The sequence below is a fragment of the Homo sapiens genome, chromosome 7, assembly GCF_000001405.40.
Source record: "Homo sapiens chromosome 7, GRCh38.p14 Primary Assembly".
Taxonomy (NCBI): Eukaryota; Metazoa; Chordata; class Mammalia; order Primates; family Hominidae; genus Homo; species Homo sapiens.
Window position 1 is genome coordinate 159,026,597 of NC_000007.14, and position 27,386 is coordinate 159,053,982.

Consider the following 27,386-nt stretch of genomic DNA (forward strand, 5'->3'; position numbering starts at 1 on the left):
GAACGGGAGTAAGTTTGTGGACTGGCACGCAGACTTGTGTGCGGGGCAGCCCCTGGAGACACAGGCAGCTGCGATGTGAGTGTGTCAGGCAGAGGTTCAGCTTTACGTCAGTGTTAAAGAAAAAAACCTGTGAAGAAACTATTCAAGACATGCAAAAGGAAGTGTTTCCCACGCACCCAGGGCAGGATGCTCGGTGAGGGGTGGTGGAGCCGTAGAGCAAACATCCTTCGAGAGCCAAATGTGCGTGACCTTTGACCTTTCCCCTTCAGGAGTGTACAGTGAGGGAATACTCGGGTAAGCACAGAAACACCTGCAAAAACAACTCACACATTCGCCAGCAGGGAGTCGGTCAAACCAACCAGGCCCAGGCTGTGGAATGTTAGGCGGCGGTTAAAAGTCACGAGATACGCACCTTCAGATGGGAAAGATGGACACCACCTGTCTCAGCGGGAGAAAGACAGCTGCAGAAGCTTCACACAATTTAGCCCGATTCCCACGAATAAACAGAAGAAAGGGCAGACAAGTTTGTACCGACGGAGGAAGGCACTGGGACCCCGCTTCAGTCGGGCACGAGTTTCCCCCAGAGAGGGGAGGAGGCAGGCAGAGGACTTCACTTTCTATGTAATCTTTGCCTACAGAGTTTGACGTTTTGTAACTGTCCTGTATAATTTGTCATCTGAAAGCCTGAAAAAAATAGCCAATTAAAAAGCTGCCATTGGTGATGAGAAAGAACGAAGCTATTGCCACGGGTGGAGGAGGGGCTTCTGCAGATCGGCCCCCGGCCCTGCACCTTCTGCCTCCCATCAGGGCTGAGTCTCCTCAGGCGGCTGAATATTTCCCACCTCAGGCAAATGGACACTAAGCTCCTGAGTCAGACAAAACAGTGACTCCCTGGAGGGCTGTGTGCCCAGCCCCTTCTCCCCCTTCCCACCTGCTTTGCTCTTAGGAAAGTCACCAAAGGCTGGTTGGTGTGGCTCATTCTAGGTTTGACTCCTTAGGAATGTGGCTTTTACCAGCGTGCTGTATCCCTCCTGACAACACAGCCATCTGGTGGAGCGTGGAGTTCATTGGAAATGCATTTTATTTGCTTGTAGCATACATGTGGCTAAGGCTCAGCACACACGGAGATTCGCATATGTGTGCACACGCCCCACGCACACACCCACACACGCATGTGCATCACATGAACGCGCGTGCACACACACACTCCTGCACTCAGTCCTGCTCTATTAACAGGTTCTTGGGCTCTGCAGAGCTGACAGAGGCCGTGTTGGGTGCGGCAGGACAAGGCTGGGCGTGCAGGCGCCTCCTCCACAGGGCACTGCTCATGCGTCACAGCTGCCAGACGGAGGCTCCCCAATGGCGACGCTCTGACAGGGGTCCGTGACTCTCCTCAGGGAGAGGTGGCTGTTTCCAATGTCCTCCCTGGTGCCCTGTGGCTGGCAGGACCCTGCCCACCCTCTCCCTCCCCGTCCAAGCTCTGTTTTCATCTGAATGCAGCAGCCACGACTAACACGCCAAGTGTGTCCTCCATGCTCCAGAGCCTCAGATCTGGTCAGAGCAAGTTCTTACTCAGCATGCAGATGTGAAGTCAGGCTTTATTGAAGTATTTACACAGCTCATTCCCGCCACGTGGAGGAGTCTGCGACATTCCACACACAATGACAGTTAAAGACACCTGCTGACCACTGGGTCCTGCTTCCCCTGCTCACCAGGCATCTGTCAGGAAACAGCCGGCCCCTCTACCAGGAGAAACCAGTCAGCTCCGCTGAACAGTGGCACATGTGCGGTTGAGGGGAGATTGTCCCCTGAGCACACCTGATGACTGATGACTGCCCACACCCAACCACCGACCATCAACAACCAGTGCCTGGTAACCACCTGACACGTCCACTCACGCCCACTTCCTCAGCGTCCCCTCTGGGTCACAGCTCAGTGTCGGCACCTGGCCACTGACCCAACACCTTCAGTTACCACAAATCTTTGTTTCCTCAAAAACCTGAGAGTAGGTGGGGGATGCTCCCTTTTGTCCTTTGAAAGCTGGGCAAGGCTGGGGGTGGGTCTGTCCAAACCCTACAGGGGAGGAACAGCCGAGGGGCCGCACTGAACCTGGGGTCTGCAGCGTCCACCTGCCTCCCTCTCGCTCCACATGCTCAGCCGTCCTTTCCTGGGCACCTGGCCTGGGCCGTTTACTCCCCAGTATCCGTCTGTGATGGATCCTCTGCGGCCCCCAGAAATGGTGGGTTGTTCTGTAGATCCGACCGCCTCACCTGTCTCCCCAAACCAACCTCGGGTTCATTCTCCCAGAAGTCCAGGGATGAGCTTGTTGCAGCAGAGGGGTGTGGCCGGCGTGGCCCAGGGTGTGCAGGACAGGGTGCGGACCTTTGGGGATTGAGGGGTCTCTGGACACTGCTGCTTTGCTGTCCTAACAGCCCCTCTGTCCGGCCTCATTTTACCGGGGATATGGGTTTTGCAAACCAAGGTGACACTGACAGGATGTGTGAGCTTCCCTGTGGCTGCCTCCCGGCACAGCTGTCCCGACCTTTGACATCGCGCCCCAGCTGGGGTCTGTGATGCCACCAATGCACAGGAACAAGACATTCATTTTTAAGGGAAAAGTGGAGTCAAATGTGCTCAGAACAACTGAGTCCCACAGTCGGGGCACCTGGGCCAGGGCTGGGCAGCTTGCTGAGGTCCATCGAGCGCTGTGGGGGCCAGGGCTTGGCACACACATGGAGACTGTGCCCTGATATCCCCACCCTTCTGCAGCTGGCTCAGCAACGTCCCCAGACACCCTCCCCACATCTGCAAACCACCCTTCGCCTGAAGGAGCAGCCGCTAGGGCTGCTGAGCGCCAGCTCTGGGGAGGAGGGCTTGAAACAGTTTTATATGTTGTTAAAATAATTCTTATCCTAAGATTATTTTTGTTAAAAAGAGAATAGGTTTCCGGTTCCCACTCAGCTGTATCCCGCACCCCACGTAACCCCATCACCAGGGGCCCGCAGGCCTGGCCGCAGCTGGCCTGGGGCTGAGCGTCAGGCTCTGCGGCTCCCACAGGGCGGCAGGTGACCTCCTGAGGCAGAGCCAGAGCTGCTGAGGGTCCCACGGAACACCTGTGTGGAGAGGTCCCCTCCTTCATGACCTTGCTCTCCTGATCTGGTTGTCTCCTCAGCCCGCCTTCCGTGGGGAGGCAAAACAGCCCTGTGGAGTTGGGTGGGGCAGGGCTCAGCCGGGCCGGGTGGGCGCCCCAAGAGAGAGGACGGGCTGCCCTCCTGTTGATTTCTCCTGGTCCTAACGTCAGGGGGGCCCTGACTGGCTTCCCTCTGTCCTGCAGATGAGGGGGCTACCCTTATGGGACCTGGGAGGCCGCCCTGATGTGGGACGGATGTCACCCGGTGGTCGCCCAGGCTCGTGCTGGGCCACACAACTGCGTTTCCACATTTCCTCCTTGGCTCCCCTATTCTCTTGGGCCGGGCGCAGTGGCTCACGCCTTAATCCCAGCACTTTGGGAGGCCGAGGCGGGCCCATCACGAGGTCAGGAGATCGAGACCATCCTGGCTAACATGGTGAAACCCTGTCTCTACTAAAAATACAAAAAATTAGCCAGGCGTGTTGGCGGGCGCCTGTAGTCCCAGCTATGGGAGGCTGAGGCAGGAGAATGGCGTGAACCCGGGAGGCGGAGCTTGCAGGGAGCAGAGATCAGGCCACTGCAGTCCAGCCTGGGCGACAGAGCGAGACTCCGTCTCAAAAAAAAAAAAAAAAAAAAAAGTGGATCCACTATACGGCTGAAACACATTTTGCACAAGATTATCTAAATGCTGGAGTTTAAATCGAGTCAATGACAACACGACTCCAATTCCAGGTATGGGGTTTAGTGGACAACCAGCTTGACGGAGTCAGGACCGCGCTGACCTGCCCGACACGGTGCTCGGGCATCTGGAAGGAGGAAGCCGGCGTCTCAGCCCCGCAGAAGCCCCGAACCGTGGGCCTCCCGCCGCGTCCGACAGGCAGGGGTGGGGCTAGATGACCGAGGTCTCCGTTTGCAGGAAGGACTGGGCGCGGGAGCCGCGGTGGAACTGCAGGGCGCCCTCCGAGCCGTTGCGGGAGAAGGAGGAACCGCAGACCCTGTAATCCCGGCTCGCGGACGGGGTCGGGCACCGGCTTCGCCATTTTCGCTTCAGCTCGCACTGCACCTGGGAGGTGAGGGCAGCGGGAACGCCCGTGAGCCTGGGCAGGTGCGGGCGGCTGCTATGGGAAGCGCGGCCCGCGAGCCTCCAGCTCTCCCTCCCGCCTGCTCCCGTATCTGTGTTGCCAGCAGATGGACAGAAACAGAAACGGCCTTGGGGGCAGAGGCTGGAGGGAGCGGGAACTGGACGGCCACAGGAGGGCGGGGGACGCTGCCAGACTCTAAGACTGTGCGTGGGTGGTTCGGGGATCGCCACTGCCGCGGTAAGCGCAGTCCCACAGTCTCAGATAGTTAATATTTCTCTGAAAAGATTTTCCTTAGCAGCCGGGGTTGTGACGGTGCTGGGCCTCCGTCTCCTTCCCTGTTCCCAGCGGGCAGGGAATGTTAGCCCTGGGAGGGGGTGGGGATGAGTGAGGGGTGCCCGGACGGCAGAGGAGGGAGGAGGACAAGTGGCACTACTCGGGCTCAGCTTTGCAGAAGCCGTGCTGGTGAAAGCTGCATGTCAAGCAAAGAAAGCGCCAGCAACCGCAGCGTGGGGCGGGAGGGTCAGGGGTCAGGGGACGGGGCCAGGCCGTTGGAGCAGCCCGGAGACAGCCTCCCTGGCTGGGAATGAACGCAGGGCAGAGCTCGGCTCCGGGCTTCCTCCCCAGGGACTCACAGGACGCTGTGCAGCCCCACCCCCCAACCCAGGCCCGGCTTTCTGGGACTCACAAGCTATGGTCAGGAGCGAGACGCCGACCATGGGGAAAAACAGATTCTGTCTAGACCCGGCCGGGAGCTTTCCCGAGAGGGCTCCGAGACGGACGGCAGTCGATGCTACTTAGGGTGGACGGAAGGACGGCGGGGTTTGGAAGCTGGGCCCAGAAGAGTGGGTTTGCCTGTGTCGTTGTGGGTTCTCTGATGGGGACACAGAACTGTGGGGTCCCGGGCAGTAACTCGAGCCCGCGGAAGACAGGCATGTGTGGGGGCTGCGGCACCAGGCTGGGCAGCATCTCAGGAAGCAAGTGAGTACCTGTGCTTGGTTCCAAGGCGGCCATGAACTTACCTCACTGTTCAGGAAACAGTAGAGGACGGCCACCACCAGGCCCTGCAATGAGAAGAGATGGTCAGGCAGGACCCGCGCTCGGGGGAGGGCGGCCGCCTCCGCACACCTACCTGGAACGACCCGAGGCACAGCTCAAACAGTATCTGGTATTTGGAGGAGATGCTGATGGGAAACACGGCAAACACCATGTAGTGGACGCCGAACAGCGGGATAAGCAGGAGCGTGGACTTGGCCAGCCTCCTGCACAGAAGGAGATGAGCCAGCTCAGCTGCTGGACCCTCGGACCCTCTGCAAGCCTGGCTGGGTCCTTCTCAGGAGGGGGCAGCTGGGTGTGGGAGGGGCTCCACACCTCCTCTCCACTGCTGGAGTCCCCGCCCAACAAGAAAAACCACTGTTTCTTTACGTTTATGTCTGAGGCCCCTGTGCATATCTAGCACTCAGGGCCTGGGAACGTGCATTCCGGAAGTGTCCGTTTCTCCCAAATTCCCTCACAAGGACACACGCTGTGTCCTGGGGTTCATGGCTGGCAGGGGCAAGATTCCCTGTGAGTGACCCCAAACCTACACAGGCCCCGCCTGGGAGCCCGGCCCATCCTGAGGCAGGCATGGGACAAGAAGGCTGGCCTCCACCGCTGCCACACGCAGGTTTAAATGATGAGAACCGATCCTGCTCCCGGACCTGCAGCTCGTAACAGCTGGGCTCCGTGGGAGCCAGGTCCCTCAGTCAGCGGCAGAGGACCTGCCTGATTCCCTCTATTAACGCATCTGAAGTTTGCTGGAAAAGAGGCCTATCTGCGGCTGAGCTCTTGGCCCCTATCCAGGGAGGTTTTGCTACTTCTGTGACCAGAGTTACACAGAAAGGACCTCGTGTGGCCTCAAGGGTGTCTCGGCCTTTTCTGTTGTCCTGGAAAGGGAACAGATTTTGTTTCCAAATAAAAGCATCCATCTCCAAGTTCAATTTAACAAACACTCCCAAAGAACCAATGCAAAGGTCAGCATAGAAACTAAACAAGATTCACAGGAAATCCAAGTTCAACCTGAAAGGCAACCAAGAACGATCTTATTCGGGGGTCTCTGCCACACAGGCACCACCGGACTCCCCTGAGCAGGGACAAGGTCATGCTGCCATGCGGGGTCTGACATGGAATCCCATCCCTCGTGTGGGCAAGCAGAGACGGGATACTCCCTGGATTTAGACACTACACAGCAGAATTAGATTCTCTGGTTTACCAGACTCTTTTGCAATACTCTGGTGCCAGGCAGCAAATATCCGGCAAATATAGACTGCATTGATCCTCCTGACCTTAGTGACATTATTACTTCCATGTTACAGATGGGGAAGCTGAGGCATGGAGTGGCAAAGTGACTTCCCTCAGGGCACTGGCCGGTATCTGCACCCAGCTTTGGGGCTGTTGGCCATGCTCCTGTCTAACCGCCCCTCCCCAAATCCATCCCTGTTTTCTAAGGTGGGAGAAAAGGGAAATGCAGGCCAGGCACCCTCCTAGGCTGGGCGGCAGGGTTCCTGCCATGGTACAGCTCTGTGCACAGCCGCCCTTCCACCCCCGGTCAGTCTGAGCCCGAGGCACCTTCTGGGCTGGGCCAACCACTTCCACACCAAGCCAGTGTTTAGTTTATACTTGAATTTTGGTTTTTACCTTTTTAAAAAAAAATAAATTCTTGATATAAATTTATGGAGTCTTTGCATTACTTTATAGATTCCCCGGATCATCATGAATTAGCTGGATGACTGGGGGTGACTGGCTGAACGTCTGCCCTGTCTTCATCTACTGAAGGGAGATCACAATGCCATCTTCATGTAATCACGTGGGCAGGAAACGCTTTCTGAATTTTTATTAAGTACAAGGCCTGGTATTAGGGCTGGCAGTAGACACACGGCCATGGACACATGGCCATGTCTGAGGGGGAGACAGAATTAAATGTAAAATAAAAAATACTGTGTGGTCAAGGAGAAAAAGACAGGCTGTATAACATGTAAGTGGGCGGATGCTTAAACAAGCAAGTTCACTGGAGAGGACTTTCTTCTGGCCTTGAAATAAAAGAAATGGTGCCTGACTTCCACAGTTGCCAAGGCCAGAAGTGCCCCTGCTGAGTCCTCCCAGGTCATCAGGTGCAGAATCACACCCTATCTAGATGGCGGGTGTTTTAAACCACCAAATTTTGGAGTGATTTGTTACTTCGCCAGGGAAATGCTGTCCAGGGCCTCTCTGAGCCTTGGGCAGGAGCAGAGCCCTGGGGCCCAGCCTCGAGGTGTGACAGTGGCGGAGGCGGAGTCGCCGCACCTCCAGGGCCTTCCTGGCAGCGTGGGGGTCTCCTGTCTCCACACGGCATCCCCATCAGGGACGGCCAGGCCGGGACACACACTCACTTGTACTGAGACTGGTCGTTGCCGCCGACATCTGGGGATGTTAACTTCTGCAGCAAAATTCGTATAATACTAATGAAAAGGACAAAATTGACCTGCACAAGAGATAATAAGTTTGTGAAACAGACACGTGGATCCCTAATTTGCCCTGAAGTCCACCTGATTTCGACCCTCCCCTCCGCTCCCTCAGTCCCTCCCTCCTTCCCTGGGAACTGCCTCTGGGGGTCCACATGCCTGAAGAGGTCCTTTTCCGGGAAGGCTGAGTGATGCGTGGAATGGGGTCAGTTCTATTTAATAAAGGATGGCAGGCTTGCTGTCTGCCCAAGTGTGTGATTCCACAGATAATCCACATGTCAACAGGGACTACTTACGATGATGGAAATTAAAATCGGTATTCGTATGACCCACCAGGGCACACTGTGGTCGTTTGTATCCCAGCAACTGTCAGAGAGAGATGGGAAATCAGGTTACCACCAACCACTTTCGCAAGACAGGTACAGAAGAATGAGCGCCTGCCCCTCCCAACTTGCCCACTCCCCTCACCGTGGAAGCACAATTTCTCTGCACTGACAGATCGTAAAGGAATCTGTCCCAGGGAGTGATTGTGTTTTGTTTCATGCTTTCAAAACAATAGTCGGCTTGTGGGGAGGAGGAATGGAGGTGCGGCCCCAGAAGCCAGGACAAGGGCAGGAGGGCTGCTGACGCCCTCCACTCTGAGCATGAACGTGTGTCAGCCCCATTCAGCTGAAATCAGGAGAAAAGAACCTTCCTCCTGAAAATTAGCTTCCCCTCACCTCCCGAATGGTTTGCATGTATATGGCAAAGGGTTTAAAACGTCCTTAGAGCCACCAGCTCTCCAGCTCATAGCATTTTGTTTTGATTTTCAGCGCATGGGGTGTCTCCAGCAGGAAGCTGTGACCCCTGGCTTGTAAAACGCCTCAGTGATTCTCCCCAGGGTCCACACCCTGCGCTGGAAGTCTGCAGCCCTCCCATAAAGCAGAATCTCCATTGCAGGCTTGGGTCCATGCTTTCCCTCGGGGGCCGAGGGCAGGAGCCTTCAGGCTGGTGCAGTCTCAGACTGGCTGAAGGGGACCAAGGGGAACCAGTCCTCAAAGCTGCTGAGTCCTCCCAGGTCATCAGGTGCAGAATCACACCGTAACTAGACGGTGGGTGTTTTAAACCACCAAATTTTGGAGTGATTTGTTACTTAGCAGTGGGTAACTGATGCACACTGAGGCCCTTTAAAAGGCAAGATATTTGTGCTGGAACCACGCGTGCTCATGTCTGGGCCGTGGTCTCGCTCAGGGAGAGCATAGTGGAAAAGCGCTCTGGGCCGCATGAGCCAAGACCAGTGCTTAGGAAGTGCCGGGGGGCCCTGCAGCCACCATCACCTGACCTTCCACTTTGCTCCGGGTAAACAACATGCAGGGCACTTGGCTTTCTTCTGTGGACATCGCTGTGCCCACCGCAGGGGCTGCCCCAGTCTCTGCCTGGCTTATCCCAATCTCAACTATGCTGCAAAACCTGGCTCACTTCCTGTCTCCTGCACGGGGCTTCCTCCAACACTCCAACCTCACAGGATTTCTCCCCATGAATCGCCCAGATGCTTCCTGCGTGGCTGTCGGTTGGCCGCAAACGCTCCCTGTCCTTCCAACCAGGTAACCTTCTGGCTTCCAAAGGACTTCATGTTGCCAGATGTTGCCGGGCCCGTTTTCGAGGTTGCAGTCTGGTCATGGACTCACCCGGTGTCTTCTAAGTAGAGCCTGGCCGCAGTCCATGCACCGATGCAGACGGTGGGGAGGCCTGCAGAGAGACGCCTGGTTACACAGGTGGAGCGGAGCGGTGTGCACGCACACAGGTGGGTGCCTTCACCAGCAAAACCCTCAAGGACACGCTTTCTCACGGGAATATTAAGTGCAATCTCTTGTTTAAAGTCTTTGTAAATATTTACAAGTTTATGCTCATGCCTTAGTAAGCAGTGAAGATAATTAAACACACGCTTGAGAGCTGAGAATCTGAGACTTGCCATTCCTCATGAGAAGGGTTATTACTGGAGGCCATGGAGTTGAACGTGCGGAGAAGGAGATGTGTTCACTGATTTTTGCGACCACCCACGGAGCTATCGGCTACGTTTGCCTCATCCTGTCCATGAGGATGTCCCAAATTTGCACCCCTTTCCAACCCTGGGCAAGGCAAGGCTTCCGCTACCTGGTGTGCCTCTCCTCTCTGATCCCCACCCTCAGTGAAAGGTGAAGTGGGTAGAGGCGGAGGAGGAAACCGTTTTGTTACTTGTTAACAGCCCAGTTTGAATGGGGGTACAAGGGGCCAGGAATGGGAGTATTTTAAACTAGGTTCCTGGTTACCAGAAATATTAATGTGTTGTTTGTAGGAGCCTCCAGTCATCCTGGAAGAGCTCTTCATGATATGACCCTGACATGCATTCTACGGGGGCGGCAAAGTGTTTTCTGAGCTGAAAATGTTTGCGTTGTTTGGTCCGATGGGATGGGATGGAGGGTTTGTGGGTGGGAAGGGGCACACTTACCCCATCCGATCAGGAGGTAGGCCAGGAAGCACCTTCTAGGGGGGAGCATGGCCACCAGGAGGGTGTGGAGGTAGAGCCCCTCCACCAGCAGCCAGAAGAAGTTGGCCATGATGCAGTACTGCAGGAAGACCAGGCTCAGCTTGCAGCCCACCTGGAAACCGCAAACAGAGGAGAGGAAAGCATGACCTCATCCGGTAACAGCAGCTACCAGCAGGCAGTGCCGCTCCAGGACACAGGGCGCTTGGTATCTGTGCAAGGAAGGAGACACCGGTGCCATTGGGAAGGAAAGTGATTAACACAGAGGCCAGGGCGCTGGCCAGGAATGCCTGCTGGTGGCACTGGGACCTTTGTATCCGCGGCTCCAGAGGAGGATCACTGCAAACGCAACTGTGAACAGCACTGCCTGAGGTGAGCGCACTCACTGCTGGAGGGTCCTAGACAGGCCGCACAGCTCCCTGGCCCTCCCGTTCTCAGCTCCTCCCCTCGGCTACTCCACTTCCCCTTCTCTGACCTGCTTCAACACGGGAACCCCCGCAGTGGTCCTGCCGGCCAGCAAAGAACCAGAAGAGCCGGCAGGAGGTCATGTGTGGGGCGAGGTATGGGTGGCAGGGGCCCTGCAGGGGCCCAGGGCTCTGGCCTCTGTCCCTTTGTGTGAACAGAACACGAGTGCAGGTAGAGGGCGCGGCACATGCCAGCTGCCCTCACTAGCAGCTCAGGTGAGCAGCGCCTGGGAAGAGAAAGCAGTGGACCCACACCAGGCCCCAGACTTTTTTTTTAAATTTTTGACAACTATGTAAGTTCCTCAATTGTAAAAAACTGGTTTTAATATTGGGTAACTTAACTAAACATGAAAAAATAAAGGGGAAAACAAGAGAAATCTAGCAAATAAAATATTTTCTGAGGACATTTTAAAAGGATTTTCACTGGGAAAGAATTGCATTATTATATAAAATCCATCTATTTTAATCTCTCAGACCTTCATCTAACTAAATGTACCAGGCATTTCAGCTTCATGAGCAACCATGAAACTGCTACTTTTAATCACTAAGCTTATATAAAGTGTGCTGAAAAAGAATAGTATTTTCATTTCCATTCTTATTTCTGTATTTATGTTCATATCTATAGACATATGTAGGTGGGTGTACATACGTATGGCAGATATATATCTGATACATATATCAGATGGATACACCTATACATATTTGTGGGTGGATATACTTACATATGTATGGGTGGATATACTACCTACATATAACAGATGGCTATCCCTATAAATATATACGGGTGAATATACTTTTTTATATATGGGTGGGTATACTTATATATATGGGTGGATACACTTATATATGGGTGGATATACTTTCATATGGTGGCCTTTCAATTTGGCCTCCGGGGTCCTGAGAGCCGCTGAGCCCTGCAGGCTGTCCCTGGCCTCCCCTGAGCCCTGCAGGCTGCCCCGACCTCCCCTGAGCCCTGCAGGCGGCCCCGACCTCCCCAGTGCTCTGGATCTGCCTTGCCTTCCTCTGCTTTTCCTTTTTCCCAAGCATAGCAGGGTGGGTGCTTCATTTTCTGAGACACTGCACAGGTGAGAGTTACCCTTATTGTCCATCTTTGCCACCAGAGTAAGGCGAGTGCCTGCACGCGGATCTCGTGTGTCAACGCCTGGTGAATGGACACTCAGATCCCAGCAAGTTCTGCCCTGGGCATCAGGACAGAGCCTCTTATGTGGAAAGACACACATGATAACACAGCCATGGATGCAGGAGAGTCACAGTAAGTCAATTTGTGACTTACTGCCACTCATTTGAAAAGTAAAGTGAAATAAATCAAGTTTTAAAATCTCTGGGAGGTGAGATTCTGGGAGTTAGTCACCCATCGGGATGCAACGTGCCTTCTTTTGTCTCTCGGTAAAAGACCGCATCTTAAACACAAGGAGTAAACTGCAGATGAACCAAGACACAAATGAACAATCTCAGAATAGAAACCTCTTAACCAAGACGGGAAATCTGAAATGAAAACAAGAAGTGCTAAAAGGATGGAAAGCAATTTTGGTTATATAAACTTTAAAAGCTTTTAGATGGTAAAAATACCATAAAAATACAATTGACAAATCATGAATCTGGAAACATATTTACAATAGAAATGACAAATGTTTAATTTTTATGACGCCAATATTACAGATGAATGCGGTGTTTTAGAGGGCCGGAACAGCTTGTGGAAAGATGCCAGTTCTCAGCAGGTGCGCTGCCCTGGAGTGTGCATGAGAGCCACAGAGGCAGTGCCAACGCCCACCAGACAGGCAAAATGGTAAAACCAGTCAGGTCTTTGGGCTCTGGTGTGATCCCACGTGCAGCTGTCAGCTGTCTCAGCCTTTTGGAAGGCAATCTAGCAAAACAGATTTACTACAATTTAAAAATACACATGCAGCCGGGTGCAGTGGCTCACACCTGTAATCCCAGCACTTTGGGAGGCCAAGGCGGGGGGATCACTTGAGGTCAGGGGTTCGAGACCAGCCTGGCCAACATAGTGAAACCCCATCTCTACTAAAAATACACACACACACACACACACACAAAATTAGCTGGGTGTGGTGACACCTGCCTGTGATCCCAGCTACTCAGAAGGCTGAGACATGAGAATCGCCTGAACCTGGGAGGTGGAGGTTGCAGTGAGCCGAGATCCTGCCACTGCACTCCAGCCTGGAAAACAGAGTGAGTCTGTGTCAAAAAACAAAACAAAACAAAACAAAAAATAAAAATATGCATGCCCTTTGCAATGGGCTGGAGGCTTCTTTATGCTGCCAGAATTCACATGTTGAAGCCCCACCCGCTGTGGGAGGGTGTTAGTGGGTGGCGCTTTGCGATGGGATTAGTGCCCCTGTAAAGGGACCCCAGCAACATCCCTCGCCCCTTCCACCACGTGAGGACACAGAGAAGTCAGACCCGAATCTGGTGGTGCCTCGGTCTCAGGCCTCCAGAACTGAGAAGTAAATGTCTGCGACAGGAGCACACGTGGATGGAGACACCCTCTGACCTGGCAACCTCACTGGCGAGTTCCACCTGACAGAAATAAGAACACCAGTCCATAAAGACGCATGTCCGGTGATGCCTGCAGCGGCAAAAGAGAAAAATAAAGTGCAGAGCAGGCCCCATACCAGAGGATGGGCTACGCGGAGAACACCATGCCACATGAGGGACCGTGTGCCGCCTGAAAGCAGGCGCCGACCTGGTGGGGCCCTGGCACATTCTGCTGAAGGAGCAAAGAGGACGCAGGAAGAGTGTGCTGAAGACGATTCCATTTTCTTCTTAAATGGGAACAAAAACATCTCTGCATTTTTTCCCATGTGCCCATTCACCAAACAAGCACACTGAGGAAGGGAGGTCTGGGGAATGACAAGGCCTCTACTGACTTCATTTTCTACAGTGTGACCTTCAAACCTCATTACACAGGCTCCAGAGCACCACAGGAGGGGCCCAACTCCAGGGCCAGTTGCCACCCACAGGGTTGATGTGAGGAACCCCGGCCAGGAGACCCACCAAGGCCCGGTGCCCAGTCAACAGCTGGTCCCTCCTCAGCCCCGTGGCCTTGTCGGGGAGCCTCTGTGTGAGCACGTGAGTACGCACACATGTGCACGTGAGGCAGGCAGGACTCAGCTTAGTAAGCTTGGGGGTGTGCTTCTGGGAGTCCCACAGACCCCGCAGGGGAACCTGCTGTGGCTGATGGTGAGAATAAAGGGCAGGTTTGCTCCGTGTCCCGGGACAGCCCAGGGCCCCAGAGGAAACTGTGTCTCTGTCTAGGCCGCATGGAAGGGGCCAAGAAGAGAACTGTTCATCTTCTTGGCTGATCCTAATATCATGAGAAAAAGACCCTGCACCTATTTTGGGGGTGCTGCCCCAGGTGTTCTGCCTGGGAGAATAACCTTGGTTTGGTGAAGTCAGCTGGGAACAAAAAATATACAAAAAAATTCAACTGGAAGGAAAGCTATTTTTCCTGTTTCTTATACTGAGGTCTGACTATTTCTGGCTGACTTGTTTATTCAAAGCCTGAGCGTTCTTTAGAGGACAGCGAGAGGGAAGACCCAGCTTGGCTCCTCTCTGGCCTCAGGCATCTCCCCTCCCTCCTGTCCTCTGTCCCTTCCCTCCTCTGTCTGTCACATGCTTTTCCCTTTGCCTCTGCTTTCCCCTTGCTGGTACTAGAGTCACGGGGCATCTGGCACAAGGGGCAAAGCCGACTCCCTCTGTCCTCACAGAGCTTGACTTGGGGCACTGGCTCTGTGCTGCTGGGCATCGTGGGGCCCCACATGCACCTGGGCTTTGGATCCCGAGACTCCGGGCCAGTTGCTGGGTTCCCCTCTGCCCAGTTTCCTCGTCTGTGAAATGGGGCAACTGCTCTTCTGAAGGCGAATGAGTGTTCACCCAGTGTCCACAGAAACAGCCCGGCATTTACAGGATGCTCTGTGCAGTGTGTGGGAGGCCAGGCCCTCCCGGTGGGGCAGCCACGCTGGCTCAGATCCACTCTGCCTCGGAGGTTCTGGGCACTCCTTTCAGGTTGAAGCAATAGGGGAGAGTAGAGAGCTGCTGCTCCAGGCCAGCACCCAGTCCCGAGGGCCACCACTTTCCATGTTGCAGGTCCTCCAGGGTCCGCTGGGGTCCACTGAGGGTCTGTCGAGGGTCCTGAGGGTCTGTCGAGGGTCCTAACGGTCTGTCAAGGGTCTGTTGCGGGTCACTGCTTTCCATGTCGCGGGTCCCAAGGGTCTGTCATGGGCCACTGCTTTCTACATCACAGGTCCATTGAGGGTCCGTCAGGGTCCTGAGGGTCTGTCATGGGTCCTGAGGGTCTGTCATGGGTCACTGCTTTCTACATCACAGGTCCGTTGAGGGTCCGTCAGGGTCCTGAGGGTCCGTCATGGGTCCTGAGGGTCTGTAACGGGTCCTGAGGGTCTTTCATGGGTCACTGCTTTTGACGTCATGGGTCCGTTGAGGGTCTGCCATGGGTCCGAGTGGTCCTCTGAGGGTCTGTCAAGTGTCTGTCAAGGGTGACTGCTTTCTTCATGAAGAGCTAAGGGCAGGGGATCTGCAGAGTGAAGCCTGAAACCATCTCGGTGAGAGAGAATCCGACACCATCCTCACACTTCTTATGGGCGTTGACCACTGTTACACATGTGGGGAGACCCTATTACTAGGACAGGAACTCCAGGGGCCCAACTCCACCTGGGGAACGGGGCTTGCCAGGTGAAAAATCTTGTTTTTAATTTTGTTATCACAGCAAATCTGATTCACAGGCATCACGCGCCAGCTTATCCCCAGAGGCACATTTCCTGCATGAAGACGATGATGGGCTATGAAAAAGCTGACGTCTGTGTGGTTATAAACGGCTTTACTATCTTAAAACTAAGTTAATTCAAATCTGTTTAGACTGAGCAACTGTGCCAGCAGAGGGACCTATCTGCGTGGAATGCGGGAGGAGAGTCTGGAGCTCCTGGCTCCTTAAGAAGAACCTTGGTAGCAAGGGTCTCTGGTTGAGAGTGAGGTACCAGGGGCACGAATCCTTCACAAAGATGCCGAGCATGTGGAGTGCTCTGGGCCAGCAGGGATGTGCTTGGTAGAACGGCCTGCATGTAGGAGGTGCTCAACAGCACCTGCTATGTTAAACTGACTTGATTAGGTACTATATAACCACCAATAACTACTACAAATACAGCTGAGGGAGAAGGGCGTGGGTGGAGTCAAACACCCTGTACTGCATTTGTAGGAACTAATAATTAAGATTATCCTGAAATCAAAGAGTTGGACGCAGATATTCATAGATATGCAACTGAGTTCACAATCAGGCTTTACAAGGAATTTACCCATGGCACAAGATCAAGTTCTTCCAGCAATCTGGAAGGAAGCCTTTACTGCTCAGAATCTAGGAGATTCAGACAGAAAGCAACAGAGTTGTGTGTGTTCATCTGTGCCAAGATTTCTCAACCCAGATGTGTGTGAGGAAGGGTGTGCCTTTCCTCAGTCTAGCTCCATGGGGGTCAGGGCTCAGGGCCCTTTCACTTCCCAGCCCTGATGATGCCTGGGAACCCCACCCTCCCTGCCTCAGTGCCACCCCCATGTCTCAGCTGCCAACTGGGCCTGTTCTGGCCCCAGCCTCTCTGCCAGGCTCTCTGTTTCTCAGCCATGACCCTGTGCCCTGACAGGAACCCTGCACCAGCACAGAGACGTCCTCATCGTGAGAAGAGGGAACAGAGATAAAGGGACAAGACAGTGGGACCCTGTGGTGGGGACAGCCTTACCCAGGAGGATGGCTGGTCAGGGCAGTGCAACGTGCCAGAGCTGGAGTAGAGAACGTCGTCCTTGACCAGCACTGAGATGGCTCTCAGGATGAAGGACAGGAACAGGTTCAGGTGGATGTAATTCCTGGTGCAGTGCAGCTTCCTGAGGTGGGGGAGTGGGAGAGAGAGGAATTGGAGGGGGAAGGGGAGGGAGGGAGAGAGAACCAGACAGAGATGAGAAACTCATACTATGATCAGAGAAGCACAGAAAAATAAAAGAGTTGAGGGCATGAAGCAGATTTCACCATGAATGGCAACTGCAATTTGCTGTGGCAGAGAAAAATGAAAAAGCTCTGTTAAGAATTTTTTTGAGATAATAAAGTAGATGAGATGAAGAAACGTTTTTAGCAAATACATACTGAATTTGATAAGAAGTTTCCTATCAACAATTAAAAAACTGTTAAAATCCCAACAAAGGAGGTCAGTGAAAATGGTGGTGTAGGGACCATTCAAGAAACAACAACAACAACAACAAAGATACTCAAAGGCTTATGCCAACCAAGTGAACGCTTAGCCGGGGGAAGGCCCTGAATAGGCAGAGGGCATGCTGTCTTTAGCTCACCCTTTTCCACCCCACCCCAACATGGTGGTCATTTTGAAGACAGAAGCTCATGTTCCTATTGTGGGTACTTGGTCCTGGAGAAATTTCATAAACCCAAGGAGTTGTGTTTGTTTTGACCTTTCTGTGGGTTCTGGGCAAAAGACTAAGATTCCGCGGGCTGAGAAGTGGTTTTGCAGACATGCTGGAAGCTGAATGAATAAGCTCCCGCCACCTCAGGAGACACTTGGCAGGGGAAGCAAACATCAGGTCCTCTGATAGCCTGAGAGGAAAAGCTGTGGAGTGAGAATCTTGGAGAATAAGGGCTTCAAGAAGCTCTCACATGAAGTGGGGAACCCAGAAATCCAGGTGCACGTTCAGGGCAGAAAGAATCAGAGAATCCCACAAGCTGTTATCTCAGGCTGCTCTTTGGGCTTAGCACAAGCAGGCAGCGAGAGCTAAGGCAGAGCTGCAGACAGTCTGGTTAAGCATTGAAGGAGTGCTCCCAACACAGAGCCAGCCTACAAAGGCCTTTAGAGGGCACTTTTTCTTTTTTTTTCAGTTTTTTATCTCTTTGACTCCAGGTGTTTGTGGAAATCTCTATCAAACAACTAGCTGATGACTGAGCTAAAAGTATAGAGTCTTCAGCGACCAATAAAGACCAAGAGTCTTTATAAAAATAGTTTAGAAAATCCCTAAATAAACAGCTACAACCGGCAGCAAGAAATAACAAATCCTAGAAGTGGGAGACTGTGATTCCAGAGTTATCACATCAGAATATTCAAAATGCCCAGTTTCAACAAAAAATATAAAGCAAAAAATAATAATAAGAAAATATGGCCCATTTACAGGAAAAATAAAATGAATCAACAAAAATTATCCTTGAGGCATCACATGAAATAGATTTACCTTAAGTTTCTGACTTAAAGTCATAGGCAACAACTTTAAATAAAGTGTCTTAAATATGCTTAAAGAGTGCAAAAAAAAAAAAACCTAAAACAAAAAACCATAGACAAATAAAGGAAACCAGGAGAACAATGTCTCAACACATAGACAATATTGATAAAAGAGATAGAAATTAGAAAAAGTAACCATGTAGAAATTTTGGAGCTGAAATGCACAATTGAACTAAAAGATTCACTGGGGTAGGCCAAAGCAGGTTTTTTTTTTTGGAGATGAATTCTCATTCTGTCACCCAGGCTGGAGTGCAATGGCGCAATCTTGGCTCATTGCAACTTCTGCCTCCCTGATTCAAGTGATTCTCCTACCTCAGCCTTCTGAATAGCTGGGATTACAGGCACCTGCCACCATGACCAGCTAATTTTTGTACTTTTAGTAGAGATGGGGTGGGGTTTCGCAACGTTGGCTAGGCTGATCTCAAACCTCTGACCGTATGTGATCCGCCTGCCTTGGCCTCCCAAAGTGCTGGGATTACAGGTGTGAGCCACCGCACCTGGCCTAGGTTTGAGCAGGCAAAAGAAATCATCTGTGAACTTGCAGAGAGGTCAAATGAAATTATCCAGTCTGAGGAGCAGAAAGAAAACAAAGAATGAAGGAAAATGAAGAGAGCCCAAGAGCCTAAGAGACTTGTGGAATTCCATCAAGTGCACCAGCACACGCATGGGGGAGTGCCAAAATGATGATCCTGAAGTCATGTGGAATTATGATGGATCCTGAACAGCCAAAACAATCTTAAACAGAACAAAGCTGAAGAACTCATCATCTCAATTTCAAACTTACTACAGACTACCAAATAGTGTGGCACTGCATATAGATCAACTGTATAGAACTGAGAGTCCAGAAATAAACCTACACATCTAAGGCCATTTGATTTTTGACAAGGGTGCCAAGGACATTCAATAGGGAAAGAATAGTCTTTTTAACGAATGGTGCTGTGACAACTAGATGTCCATATGTAAAATAATACAGCTGGACCCCTACCTCACAGCATATTAAAAATTACTCAGAATGAATCAATGACCTAGACATAAGAGCTAAAACCATAAAACTCTTCTGAAAAAACATAGGAGCAAATATTCAAGACCTTTGGATTTCCTGTGTACTTGTGGTGTCAGCCACAAGTCTAATAGGCTCTGTTGGATTTCTTATGTTCTTATGTATGATACCAAAAGCACAGCAAAAAAACAACAGATAAAGTTGACTTCATCAACATTAAAAACTTTTACATATTAAAGGACATTACTAAGAGAGTTCAAAGAAAATCTACAGAATGGGAGAAAATGTCTGCAAATTATATATCTGATAAGGATTAGTATCTAAAATATATAAAGAACTCTTACAACTCAATGACAAAAACCCAATTAGAAAATGGGCAAAAACTCAACTATCTATTTCTCCAAAGATATACAAATGGTCAATAAGCACATAAAACCATAATGTGACTTCATTGCATACCACTAGATGGCAATAGTAATAATAATAATAAATTAAGAAAACAAAATAAAAAGTATTGGATGGGTGTGAAGAAACTGGAACCCTCATATATTGCTAGTGGAAATGTAAAATGGTACAGTCATTGTGGAAAGCAGTTTGGTGGTTTCTCAACACAGAATTACAATATGCCCCAGAATTCCACTTGTAGGTATACGCTCCAAAGAGTTGGAAACAAGTTTTCAAACAAAACGTGTACATGAATGTTCATGGCAGCTCTATTCACAACAGGCAAATGGTGAAACAGTTCAAATGTCCATGAGCAGATGAACGGATAAACTAAATGTGGCATATCCATACAACTAAATACTATTCAACCATAAAGAGGCATGAAGTACTGACGTGGATCGAACTTGAAAACATTATGCTAAGTAAAGACACCAGTCACAAAAGGCCACATATTGTATGACGCATCCAGTGGAGGCAATTCCATGGAGAAGGCAGATTCTAGCTTCCAGGAGCCGGAGGGTATGGGGAGTGACTGCCTCATGTATAGAAGGCTTCCTTTTGGGACAATAGGAAGTTCGGGAACTAGCTAATGGTGATAGTTACACAACACTGTGAAGGTGCTTAGTGCCAAGGAATTGTGTACCTTAAGATGGCTCAAATGGTAAATTTTGTGTTATGGGTATTTTACCACAAATTTTGGAAATCCACCCTCCCCCTCAAATTTTTAAACAATTATGGCCAGCTGAAACAATTTCGATTCTTGCATAAAAAAGAAAAATAATTTTTGTCCAAAAGGATGTTAAAAGAAATTTTTATTTCATTTGTTAGAGAAATATAAAGAACAGACTAAGAAAAATATTTTACAAAAAGTGAAAATTTTCATTTAAGCCAAACTATTGCCCACAGAGTAAAAGCCCTTTCTAACATTATTAAAGATCCTGGGCCGGGCGCGGTGGCTCATGCCTGTAATCCCAGTACTTTGGGAGGCCGAGGCACGTGGATCACCTGAGGTCAGGAGTTCAAGACCAGCCTGACTAACAAGGTGAAACCCTGTCTCTACTAAAAATACAAAAATTAGCCGGGCTTGGTGGTGGGTGCCTGTAATCCCAGCTACTCAGGAGGCTGAGGCAGGAGAATCGCTTGAACCCAGGAGGCAGAGGTTGAGATTGAATCCAGGAGCCGAGATTGTGCCATTACGCTCCAGGCTGGGCAACACAAGCGAAACTTTGTCTCAAACAAACAAACAAAAAAACTATAAAGGATCCTTTAATTTAAAACTTGAAAAGTTGCAAGTACTTTTCTTTGGTTTTTGATGAGTTGTGTGGTTAAGAGAAACTCACTGGACAATTAATATTTTGAATTCTTTAATTACAGAAGAATTCCAAATTTATAAACAAATGTCAATTGTTTATAAAAATTAGAAATTATGGTGTAAATATTTTTTCATAGTTTCCATTTGTCAAAGAATTCGGTTATATATGAAAAAACTAGTTTCTATTATGACAGACACTGCTCCAGCTACTGCAAGGTCAAAACCCTGAATTTATTGCAATTCATTTGGAATTTAAAACAAGGGACAGATATTTCCATTATTGCTTCTTTCCACTGTATAATACTATTGAAAGTATTTGTGTTCCATTTTATGAAGTAGACTCTAGAAAAACCATCAAGAATGTTGTTGTTAAAATCTTTCAGTATTTATGTGCAAATGCTTTGAATCGCTGAGCGTTTACACAACACCTGAAAGAAACAAGACAATGAACTTAATGATCTAGTGTTCTTTGCAAATGCTTGGGTGAGTCATGGAAGAATTTTACAATATTCACTGTATTGGTAACTCCAAGTCAAGATTTTTCTCAAACAGTAAGGGCTTTCCAAATATTCAATTATCAAAAGCAAAATGACAATATAATTTATGTTTTCTCAGTGCTATCCTGTTGGTTTTGGAACCTTGAAGAAAGGAGAGCTTATTTGTGACATAGCTAGGTATGAAAAATTATGTGGAAATAAAAACTTCCCATAATATAAATCATAACTAATGATTTAGCATTTTTCTAACATGAATAAATATGCAGAATATTTTAATTACAATCAAGAGAACCATTTAAACTGGCAGAAAAATACCATATAAATTTGAGAAACACTTTTTCTAATCAATGGATTTAGAGTTGTTTGCCAATTTATGCATTGCCCCTTGGAATTTGACATTAGTTATACTGAGCTGATACAAGGGTAAGCTTATTTAACTTGAGAAGACATAATTTGCAAACAAAGGTGCTTTTGCTTCAAAGTTAGATCAACTCTTTCTAAAAATGGTAACCTAGTTTTGTTAATGTGGATATGAATAGTAAAGGGAAATGACTCCTGGTACCAGAGTGACTTGCTGGAGAGCTTTTATGTATGTTTGGACAGCTAGGTATGTTTGAACAACTTTTTCAACTGTAAATTTTAAAAACTCTAAAGGCAGATCAAGTATTTCCAATACAAATCAGTGACCAAATTGAACTATACTGTGTGAACTACAAACTGGATTTTGAAGACTTACTCTGAACACAAGAATGTAAATAGCTCATTAATATTTTTATACTGATTACATATTGAAGTAGTATTTTGGATCTGACAACTTTAATGTATTATTAATTTCACTGGTTTCTTTTTATTTTTAAAAGAAAATGTTAAAATGAGGCTACTAGAATGCTTACAATTATGCTAGTGGCTTGCCTTATGTTTCTGTTGGACACTGCTGATCTCAACAGCTATTGGATTGTGCTTTTTCAGCTCCTCTTTGGGCTGGCACCTGTCAAACTCCTCCACAGCCAGCGTGCACTCAGCTCAGCCCTTACTGATGTTCTGCACAGCTCCAGGGGCTTTCTCTAGTTCTTCCACAAACCTCTGCTGGGTCCACTTGTTCAAGGCATGGAGGACCCTTCTCTCCCACTCAAAAGATTCCTCATTCTTAGCCTTCAGTTTCTTGAACCTTATTTTTATTTTTTCTATCAACATGCCACCCCCATTACTGCACCCTCTGTGGACTCTGAGCGTCCCTGTTCCTCTGCCAAGCACGCACTCCCATAAAACTTTCTCTCTTGGAATTCTCTTCTTCCAGCAAGACCCTCATCAAATGTCAACATGAACCTTTCTTGGGGCTTAACTTTATGTGACATCTTGCTTTTCTAAAAAGTATTCAGAACATTTTGTTTACAACTCTCTTAGAACACTTAAATTCTGCTTCAGAGAAGACTTAATTGGAACACACCCTAAAGAGGACCTCCACTTGTGGCCGTGAAGGAGGATACCTCAGGAAAGGATCAGGGTGATCCTAAAAAGCAGCCCAAGGGCTTTGGGGAGCAGCCGCAGCTGTGGGGACCAAAGGGCTGGACTCTGGGGAGAAGGCAAGGGCACTGTGGGGAGCGCCTGGGCCCTCCAGGGCCTCCGTGGGTATCTGCTGCTTTAGCTCTCCGGGCACAGAGGGTGTTCAGAAAGGACAAGCCCAGAGCCAGGGCCATAGCGAGGGCAGCCTCACCCGCCACAGCAGAAACGGGAGATAAGGGCTGTTGGGTGACCCTCGGGGAGCAACGACTCTGCAGGAAAGGAAATAGAGGCTGCATCCAAATCCTTTTGGTCTCTGAGATGGCTGTGTGTTGGGTGAGAGGCTGAGAAATAAACCAGAAAGCAGTGGCCAAGGGCGAGTACTTGGGGGAAATGCCTGCAGCTTCATGGGTGCCGGGTGGCAAGCACCAGGATTCAGGGCCTGAGGGTGGCAGGGTTCCCTTCATGGGGGAGTCCCGAATAGCTGTGGCCCAGAGTAACAACAAACCAGAGAGCACCTGGCTGCTTGAAACCTGAAATGCAGCCCGAAACCCACATGGCCCTGACGGCCCAGGCTGGTCTACCCTTGTTACCATGAAAAATTCAAATCCTCTGCAGCAAGATAATCATCTGAAGCCTCTGCAATTTAAGTATTTGTAATTTCAGTAACAATTACTAGGTATGCCAGAAACAGGACTAAGTAATCAAAAGCCAAGTTAAAAAGAAAAAACACTGGCCAGGCACGGTGGCTCACGCGTGTAATCCTAGCACTTTGGGAGGCCAAGGTGGGTGGATCACTTGAGATCAGGAGCTTGAGACCAGCCTGGCCCACATGGTGAAACCCCGTCTCCACTAAAAATACAAAAATTAGCTGGGCATGGTGGTGCACGCTTGTAATCCCAGCTACTTGAGAGACTGAGGCAGGAGGATCGCTTGAACCCGGGAGGCAGAGGTTGCAGTAAGCGGAGATCATGCCACTGCACTCCAGCCTGGGTGACAGAGACATACTCCATCTCAAAAAAACACAAAAAAACAAAAAAAAAAACAAAAAAAAACAAAAAAACCCAGACAATAGCGATTCAGATGCTAGTGTTTTAAGACATGGACTATAAAATTAATATATTTAAGAAAACAGATAAAGAAATGGAGAATTTTATTAGATAATAAAATTAAGACAATCAAATAGAAAATTTAAAACTTAAAAAACCTTGAAATTAAGAGTTAAATAGAGGGGACTAACATTAATTTAACACAGCAGATGCGAGTACCATGAATTGGATCAGTAGTATGTCTAGATTAAAGTAGAAACCAAAAATATGAAAAATATAGGAAAAAATAGTAATATAATACATGGGAAATGTAGTTTTAGGAGAAGAGAATTAGGAAGGAGCAGTATTTGAAGAGATGCTAGCCACAAGGTTTTTTGAAACTGACAAAAGACAGTAACAGATTAAAGAAACTCTACAAACCCCAAGAAGGAGAAATGTGAAGAAAACCACCTTAAGTCCTATGAGAGTGTAACTGCTAAAAACTGAAAAAAGTCTTCAAAGCTTTCAGAGGAAAAAAGACACACTGCCTCAAAGGAACAATGGTGCACTGGCAGCTGACTTTTCAGAAGAGGTCACGACGTACATCTTTAATGTGGTGAGAGAAAATAACTGCCAACAGAATTCAATCCTCTCCAAAATAGCCTCAAAAATGAAGGCAAAATTAAAATGATTTCAAGCAACCAAAACTCATAAGAATTCACTGCTGGTGGGACTGTGCTGAGAGAAACACTACAGGGAAATCTTCCTGCAGTAGGAAAATGATTCCAGATGGAATCACAAAATGCAGGAGAATGAAGAGCACCAGAAAGAAATGTTGAGGGAATGCTAAGTAAATGCGACCTTTAACACAACAACAATAGTATTTATATATGGAATTAAAATACATGACAAAAACACAAAACACATGAGAGGTAAAATGGAGCTAAAATGTTGCAAAACTCTTGAATTGACTGGAAAGTGGTAAAAGTAGTTACTGGAGGTTAACTCATGAGAAAAGGATGCCTATTGTGAATCTGGGGTGACAACTAGAAGAATAGTAACAATCCAAAAGAGGAGAAAACCAGAAGAATAAAAATATTTGATCAATTCAAAAGAAACAAGAATATGTGCAAAACCAACAAAGAACAGTTGAGACAATTAGAAAGCAAAGAAATGAAAGGTAGATTAGAACTCACAGTTGTCATAAGTAGACTGTGCGTATGAAAATGCTGCATTTAAAAATAAAGATTGTAGACAAAAAGCAAATTCCAATTAAATGGAGCTTATAAAATATCTACATTTAATATAAAACACAGGGAAGTAGAAAATAAAAAGCACAGAAAACCGTATACCTTGAAAATGCAAAATAAAGCTAATAAAATTATCTTAAATATCAGACAAAGCAGATTTTTAAGGTAGGAGACATTACTACACATTGGCAGTTTAAACTGATATACTCCTAATGACATAGCCTTAAAATATAGATGGTAAACAGTGAAAGAATTAAAAGGACAAATAGACAAGCCCACAATTATAGTTGGAGATTTTAATACATGTCTTTCAGTACTGGTAGAAAAATGTAAGTCTTTCAGTTCTGGTAGAAAAAGCAGTTAAAACAATCAGTAAAGATTTGGAATAATTAAATAACATTGAAAAACGATGTGAATGACCTATGTAGCACATAACCAAGAACTGCATAATTTACATTATTTTCAAACGAAAATGAAACTTTTACCAAAACAGATGGCATGCCAGATCATAAAGCAAGTCTCAACAAGCTTCAGAGGACTGAAAGTTGGTTCTTGGAAAACACTGATAAAATTGGTAACACTTTATTCAGTAAGACTCATCAAGATAAAAAGAAAGAAAACACAAATTGACAATACCAGGACTGAAGGAGCAGAGATCTGTATAGATCTTACATACATTAAAAATGTAACAGAACATTGAAAATATTGATGAAATGGACAGATTCCTTGAAAAGTACAACTTAGCAGAACTAACATACAAAGAAACCGAGAGTCTGAATAGTCCTATATCTGGTTTAGAAATTTTGGACAGCCAAATAAAACCTGCTCACAAAAAAAACTCTCTGCCCTGTTGGCTCTTCTGGTGACTTCTTCCAAACATTTAAAGAAGATATAACATCTTATCTAACCTAAACTACTCCAAAAAATAGAAAAGAGAAAACACTTTCCTCTTCACTTTATGGGCCAACACCAAACCTTACCAGATTGACTCATGGGAAAGGAAAACAATAGATCAATTTCATGAATGTAGATGAAAAATCCTCAACAAAATATTATCAAGCTGAGTTCAGCTATATATTAAAAACATAATATATCAAAACCATGTAGGGTTAATTTAGGAATGAAAGGTGGATTTAACATTAGAAAATCTATCCATGTAATATTTCAAATTAAATGAACAAATGTTAAAAACCATATGTATGTACATAAAAATCATGATAAAATTCAAAAGCCATTCATGACTAAAAAGTCTCAGAAAACTGGGAATTGAGAGAAACTTAATTTGGTAAAAGGTATCTTCAAAATATCTACAGCAAACATCATGCTTATAGTGAAGTATGGAAAGCTTTCACTCTGAGTTCAGAAATAAGAAAATGTTGTTTGCTATCACCACTTCTATTCAACATTGTACTTCACAAACAGCATGAATTACACATAGAAAAATCCAAGTGAATTTATGGAATAAAGAATCCATAAATGGATTTAGTGAGGTTGCTGAAGCAAGAGGTTTGTCTTTTTTTTTTCTTTTTCCTTCTAAGACAGGGTGTCTCACTCTGTCGCCCAGGCTGGTCTCAAACTCCTGGGCTCAAGCAATCCTCCTGCCTTGACCCAAAGTGCTGGGATTATAGGCATGAGCTACTGTACCTGGCCTTTGAAGCAATATTAATATACTAAAATAAATTTTTTCAAGAAACAATTAGAAATGGAATTTAACAAAATATTTATAATACCATAAACAAATATCTAGGAATGACTATTAAATTATGTGTAAGACTTCCACTCGGAAAATCATAAAACACTGAGAAATTAAAGAAAACCAAAACAAATGGAAGGATCTACTATGATCACAGGTTGGATGATTCATAATTAGAACGATGTCCTGTCTATCCAAGCTGATCTATAGATACAATGCAATACCAAATGAAATTGCAATAGAATTTTTGTTTTTTTTGTTTTTTTGAGAGAAATGGTCTTGCTCTGTTGCCCAGGCTGGAGTGCAGTGGTGTGATCACAGCTCACTGCAGCCTCAACCTGGGCTCAAGTGATTCTTCCACCCCAGCCCCTTAAGTAGCTGGAACTGCAGGCATGTGCCACCACGGCCAGCTAATTTTAAATTTTGTTGTAGAGACTGTAGAGATGGGGTCTCCCTATGTTGCCCTGGCTTGTCTTGAACTCCTGAGCACAAGCAATCATTCTGTCTTGGCCTCCCAAAGTGCTGGGATCACAGGCGTGAGCCAATGCAACCAGCCTGATTTTTTAAAACGGCAATTGACATTAAAAGTTTAAGAGTTGATTTTTAAAATTCACATGTAAGTACAAATGGCCAAGCTCTTCCTAATTAAAAAATAAAAAAGGGTTGATGGACTTGGACTCCTAGGAATAAA

At 47.9% G+C, this 27,386-nt stretch overlaps 1 protein-coding gene across 4 annotated transcripts in view, besides 4 other annotated features; it reads right to left on the reverse strand.

Annotated features, from left to right (window-relative positions):
• Nucleotides 1,572–2,500: an enhancer, noted in NCBI's record as "H3K27ac-H3K4me1 hESC enhancer chr7:158820859-158821787 (GRCh37/hg19 assembly coordinates)". NCBI's record gives its function as "activates a minimal SCP1, AML or CMV promoter by ChIP-STARR-seq in primed H9 embryonic stem cells {active_cell/tissue: H9 hESC(primed)}" and the evidence as "EXISTENCE:reporter gene assay evidence [ECO:0000049][PMID:30033119]".
• VIPR2 (vasoactive intestinal peptide receptor 2) overlaps nt 1,579–27,386 on the reverse strand; it is a 116,693-nt gene continuing 90,885 nt past the window's right edge. For 2 of the 4 annotated variants that reach the window (NM_003382.5, NM_001308259.1), the window contains 8 exon segments: nt 16,439–16,580; nt 10,156–10,306; nt 9,356–9,416; nt 7,985–8,054; nt 7,617–7,708; nt 5,342–5,471; nt 5,232–5,273; nt 1,579–4,193 (listed from right to left, as the gene is read on the reverse strand). In NM_003382.5, the coding sequence (NP_003373.2) occupies nt 4,020–4,193; nt 5,232–5,273; nt 5,342–5,471; nt 7,617–7,708; nt 7,985–8,054; nt 9,356–9,416; nt 10,156–10,306; nt 16,439–16,580 (862 nt within the window). In that variant the 3' untranslated portion in view covers nt 1,579–4,019. 4 annotated transcript variants of the gene reach the window in all.
• Nucleotides 4,619–5,271: an enhancer, noted in NCBI's record as "H3K4me1 hESC enhancer chr7:158823906-158824558 (GRCh37/hg19 assembly coordinates)". NCBI's record gives its function as "activates a minimal SCP1, AML or CMV promoter by ChIP-STARR-seq in naive H9 embryonic stem cells {active_cell/tissue: H9 hESC(naive)}" and the evidence as "EXISTENCE:reporter gene assay evidence [ECO:0000049][PMID:30033119]".
• Nucleotides 10,482–10,776: a silencer, noted in NCBI's record as "tiled region #8832; K562 Repressive non-DNase unmatched - State 20:ReprD". NCBI's record gives its function as "represses a minimal TATA promoter and a strong SV40 promoter by Sharpr-MPRA in K562 cells {active_cell/tissue: K562}" and the evidence as "EXISTENCE:reporter gene assay evidence [ECO:0000049][PMID:27701403]".
• Nucleotides 12,927–13,427: an enhancer, noted in NCBI's record as "H3K4me1 hESC enhancer chr7:158832214-158832714 (GRCh37/hg19 assembly coordinates)". NCBI's record gives its function as "activates a minimal SCP1, AML or CMV promoter by ChIP-STARR-seq in primed H9 embryonic stem cells {active_cell/tissue: H9 hESC(primed)}" and the evidence as "EXISTENCE:reporter gene assay evidence [ECO:0000049][PMID:30033119]".